The sequence below is a fragment of the Homo sapiens genome, chromosome 19 (genome assembly GCF_000001405.40).
Source record: "Homo sapiens chromosome 19, GRCh38.p14 Primary Assembly".
In the NCBI taxonomy this organism is placed as follows: Eukaryota; Metazoa; Chordata; class Mammalia; order Primates; family Hominidae; genus Homo; species Homo sapiens.
Genome location: NC_000019.10, coordinates 40913528 through 40919527, shown reverse-complemented (window position 1 = coordinate 40919527; position 6000 = coordinate 40913528).

The window sequence follows — 6000 nt, the reverse complement described above, 5'->3', positions numbered from 1 at the left end:
GTCTTCCCTTGTTCCATAAAAATCACTATTATTCTGTTCTTTTTCAAGGTGCACTGATTTCATATTGTTCAAACATACATGTTTTACAATCAATTTGTACAGTTAACACAATTATCACAGAGGTCCTGAGGTGACACACATCCTTAGCTTCTGAAGATAACAGGATTAAGATACTAAAGACAGGCATAAGAAATTATAAAAGTATTATTTGAGAACAGATAAATGTCCATATTAAGATGAAATCTTCACAACTTTTTTTATGTTTCAAAAATAATTGTAATAAGTGGAGAACAGTTTTGCTCCTTCCATTAAACATATGAATTTTACAAATTATAGTGATATATTTTTCTCTCTGGGTAAATATGAGTAATACAGAGAACAATGTGTAAAACAAATGGTTCCTGGAAAAATAGGAATAAACAAAAAGTACTGATCAGTACCGGTGGCTACCCATAATTAACACCACTAGTCAAATTCTCAATAACCACATAGAAAAAGGGTTTAACTGTATATGCTGAGGTAAGTGTCTTACAGAGCATACCTCTGTATGACACTTACATACAGCATGTAAGTGTATAGAGAAAGCATGTACTTTCTCTATTTCTTCTTATATATATACTTTAAGTTCTAGGGTACATGTGCACAACGTGCAGGTTTGTTACATATGTATACATGCGCCATGTTGGTGTGCTGCACCCATTAACTCGTCATTTACATTAGGTATATCTCCTAATGCTATCCCTCCCCATGGTGTATATGTGCCATATTTTCTTAATCCAGTCTATCATTGATGGACATTTGGGTTGGTTCCAAGTCTTTGCTATTGTGAATAGTGCCACAATAAACATAGGTGTGCATGTGTCTTTATAGCAGCATGATTTATAATCCTTTGGGTATATACCCAGTAATGGGATGGCTGGGTCAAATGGTATTTCTCGTTCTAGATCCCTGAGGAATCACCACACTGTCTTCCACAATGGTTGAACGAGTTTACAGTCCCACCAACAGTGTAAAAGTGTTCCTATTTCTCCACATCCTCTCCAGCACCTGTTGTTTCCTGACTTTTTAATGATCACCATTCTAACTGGTGTGAGATGGTATCTCATTGTGGTTTCAATTTGTGTTTCTCTGATGGCCAGTGATGATGAGCATTTTTTCATGTGTCTGTTGGCTGCATAAATGTCTTATTTTCAGAAGTATCTGTTCATATCTTCACCCACTTTTTTTATTATACTTTAAATTTTAGGGTACATGTGCACAACGTGCAGGTTTGTTACATATGTATACATATGACATGTTGGTGTGCTGCACCCATCAACTCATCATTTAACATTAGGTATATCTCCTAATGCTATCCCTCCCCCCTCCCCCCACCCCACATGATGAGTTCATGTCCTTTGTAGGGACAGGGATGAAGCTGGAAACCATCATTCTCAGCAAACTATCGCAAGGACAAAAAACCAAACACTGCATGTTCTCGCTCATAGGCGGGAATTGAACAATGAGAACACATGGACACAGGAAGGGGAACTTCACCCACTTTTCGACTGGGTTGTTTGTTTTTCTCTTGTAATTTTGTTTGAGTTCTTTGTAGGTTCTGAATATTAGCCCTTGGTCAGATGAGTAGATTGCAAAAATTTTCTCCCATTCTGTAGGTTGCCTATTCACTCTGATGGTAGTTTCTCTTGCTGTGCAGAAGCTCTTTAATTTAATTGGAGCCCATTTGTCCATTTTGCCTTTTGTTGCCATTGCTTGTGGTGTTTTAGACATGAAGTCCTTGCCCATGCCTATGTCCTGAATGGTATTGCCTAGGTTTTCTTCTAGGGTTTTTATGGTTTTAGGTCTAACATTTAAGTCTTTAATCCATCTTGAATTAATTTTTGTATAAGATGTAAGGAAGCGATCCAGTTTCAGCTTTCTACATATGGCTAGCCAGTTTTCCCAGCACCACTTATTAAATAGGGAATCCTTTCCCCATTGTTTGTTTTTGTCAGGTTTGTCAAAGATCATACGGTTGTAGATGTGTGGTATTATTTCTGACGGCTCTGTCCTGTTCTGTTGGTCTATATCTCTGTGTTGGTACCACTACCATGCTGTTTTGGTTACTATAGCCTTGAAGTATAGTTTGAAGTCAGGTAGCATGATGCCTCCAGCTTTGTTCTTTTGGCTTAGGATTGACTTGGCAATGTGGGCTCTTTTTTGATTCCATATGAAATTTAAAGTAGTTGTTTCCAATTCTGTGAAGAAAGTCATTGGTAGCTTGATGGGGATGGCACTGAATCTATAAATTACCTTGGGCAGTATGGCCATTTGCATGATATTGATTACTGCAATCCATGAGCATGGAATGTTCTTCCATTTGTTTGTGTCTTTTTTATTTAGTTGAGCAGTGGTTTGTAGTTCTCCTTGAAGAGGTCCTTCACATCCCTTGTAAGTTGGATTCCTAGGTATTTTATTCTCTTTGAAGCAATTGTGAATGGGAGTTCACTCATGATTTGGCTCTCTGTTTGTCTCTTATTGTTGTATAAGAATGCTTGTGATTTTTGCACATTGATTTTGTATCCTGAGACTTTGCTGAAGTTGCTTATCAGCTTAAGGAGATTTGGGGCTGAGACAGTGGGGTTTTCTAACACAATCATGTCATCTGCAAACAGGGACAATTTGACTTCTTTTCCTAATTGAATACCCTTTATTTCTTTCTCCTGCCTGATTGCCCTGGCCAGAACTTCCAACACTATGTTGAATAGGAGTGGTGAGAGAGGGCATCCCTGTCTTGTGCCAGTTTTCAAAAGGAATGCTTCCAGTTTTTGCCCATTCGGTATGATATTGGCTGTGGGGTTGTCATAAATAGCTCTTATTATTTTGAGATACATCCCGTCAATACCTAATTTATTGAGAGTTTTAGCATAAAGGGCTGTTGAATTTTGTCAAAGGCGTTTTCTGCATCTATTGAGATAATCATGTGGTTTTTGTCTTTGGTTCTGTTTATATGCTGGATTACATTTATTGATTTGTGTATGTTGAACCCACCTTGCATCCCAGGGATGAAGCCCACTTGATCGTGGTGGATAAGCTTTTTGATGTGCTGCTGGATTCGGTTTGCCAGTATTTTATTGAGGATTTTTGCATCAATGTTCATCAGGCATATTGGCCTAAAAGTCTCTTTTTTTGTTCTGTCTCTGCCAGACTTTGGTATCAGGATGATGCTGGCCTCATAAAATGAGTTAGGGAGGATTCCCTCTTTTTCTATTGATTGGAATAGTTTCAGAAGGAATGTTACCAGCTCCTCCTTGTACCTCTGTTAGAATTCAGCTGTGAATCTCTCTGGTCCTGGACTTTTTTGGTTGGTAGGCAATTAATTATTGCCTCAATTTCAGAGCCTGTTATTGGTCTATTCAGGGATTCAACTTCCTCCTGGTTTAGTCTTGGGAGGGTGTATGTGTCCAGGAATTTATCCATTTCTTCTAGATTTTCAAGTCTATTTGCATAGAGGAGTTTATAGTATTCTCTGGTGGTAGTTTGTATTTCTGTGGGATTGGTGGTGATATCCCCTTTATCATTTTTTATTGCGTCTATTTGATTCTTCTCTTTTCTTCTTTATTAGTCTTGCTAGTCTATCAATTTTGTTGATCTTTTCAGAAACCCACCTCCTGTATTCATTGATTTTTTGAAGGGTTTTTTGTGTCTCTATCTCCTTCAGTTCTGCTCTGATCTTAGTTATTTCTTGCCTTCTGCTAGCTTTTGAATGTGTTTGCTCTTGCTCCTCTGGTACTTTTAATTGTGATGTTAGGGTGTCAGTTTTAGATCTTTCCTGCTTTCTCTTGTGGGCATTTAGTGCAACAAATTTCCCTCCACACACTGCTTTAAATGTGTCCCAGACACACTGGTATGTTGTGTCTTTGTTCTCATTGGTTTCAAAGAACATCTTTATTTCTGCCTTCATTTTGTTATGTACCCAGTAGTCATTCAGGAGCAGGTTGTTCAGTTTCCATGTAGTTGAGTGGTTTTGAGTGAGTTTCTTAATCCTGAGTTCTAGTTTGATTGCACTGTGGTCTGAGAGACAGTTTGTTGTGATTTCTGTTCTTTTACATTTGCTGAGGAGTGCTTTACTTCCAATTATGTGGTCAATATTGGAATAAGTGCGATGTGGTGCTGAGAAGAATGTATATTCTGTTGATTTGGGGTGGAGAGTTCTGTAGATGTCTTTTAGGTCGGCTTTGTGCAGAGCTGAGTTCAATTCCTGGATATCCTTGTTAACTTTCTGTCTCATTGAACTGTCTAATACTGACAGTGGAGTGTTAAAGTCTTCCATTATTATTGTGTAGTAGTCTAAGTCTCTTTGTAGGTATCTAAGGACTTGCTTTATGAATCTGGGTGCTCCTGTATTGGGTACATATATATTTAGGATAGTTAGCTCTTCTTGTTGAATTGATCCCTTTACCTATGTAATGGCCTCCTTTGTCTCTTTTCATCTTTGTTGGTTTAAAGTCTGTTTTATCAAAGACTAGGATTGCAACCCCTGCTTTTTTTTTTTTCATTTTCCATTTGCTTGGTAGATCTTTCTCTATCCCTTTATTTTGAGCCATACGTGTCTATGCACGTGAGATGGGTCTCCTGAATACAGCACACTGATGGGTCTTGACTCTTTATCCAATTTGCCAGTCTGTGTCTTTTAATTGGAGCATTTAGCCCTTTTACATTTAAGGTTAATATTGTTATGTGTGAATTTGATCCTGTCATTATGACATTAGATGGTTACTTTGCTCATTAGTTGATGCTGTTTCTTCCTAGCATTGATGGTCTTTACAATTTAGCATGTTTTTGCAGTGGCTGGTACCAGTTGTTCCTTTCCATGTTTAGTGCTTCCTTCAGGAGCTCTTGTAAGCAGGCCTGGTGGTGACAAAATCTCTCAACATTTGTTTGTCTGTAAATGGTTTTATTTCTCCTTCACTTATGAAGCTTAGTTTGGCTGGATATGAAATTCTGGGTTGAAAATTCTTTGCTTTCAGAATGTTGAATATTGGCCCCCATTCTCTTCTGGCTTGTAGAGTTTCTGCCAAGAGATCTGCTGTTAGTCTGATCGGTTTCCCTTTGTGGGTAACCTGACCTTTCTCTATAGCTGCCCTTAGAATTTTTTCCTTCATTTCAACCTTGGTGAATCTGACAATTATGTGTCTTGGGGTTGCTCTTCTCGAGGAGTATCTTTGTGGCATTCTCTGTATTTCCTGAATTTGAATGTTGGCCTGCCTTGCTAGGTTGGGGAAGTTCTCCTGGATAATATCCTGAAGAGTGTTTTCCAGCTTGTTTCCATTGTCCGCGTCACTTTCAATTACACCAATCAGATGTAGATTTGGTCTTTTCACATAATCCCATATTTCTTGGAGGCTTTGTTCATTTCTTTTCACTCTTTTTTCTCTAAACTTCTCTTCTCGCTTCATTTCATTCATTTGATCTTAATCACTGATACCCTTTCTTCCACTTGATCAAATCAGTTACTGAAGCTTGTGTATGCATCACGTAGTTCTCATGCCATGGTTTTCAGCTCCATCAAGTCATTTAAGGTCTTCTTTACACTGTTCATTCTAGTTAGCCATTCATCTAATCTTCTTTCAAGGTTTTTAGCTTCTTTGTGATGGGTTCAAACATCCTCCTTTAGCTCAGAGAAGTTTGTTATTACCGATTGTCTGAAGCCTCCTTCTCTCATCTCATCAAAGTCATTCTCTGTCCAGCTTTGTTCTGTTGCTGGTGAGGAGCTGCATTCCTTTGGATGAGAAGAGGCGCTTTCATTTTTACAGTGTTCCGCTTTTCTGCTCTGGTTTCTCCCCATGTTTGTGGTTTTATCTACTTTTGGTCTTTCATGATGGTGACGTACAAATGGGGTTTTGGTGTGGATATCCTTTCTGTTTGTTAGTTTTCCTTCTAACAGTCAGGACCTTCAGCTGCAGGCATGTTGGAGTTTGCTGGAGGTCCACTCCAGACTCTGTTTGCCTGGATATCACC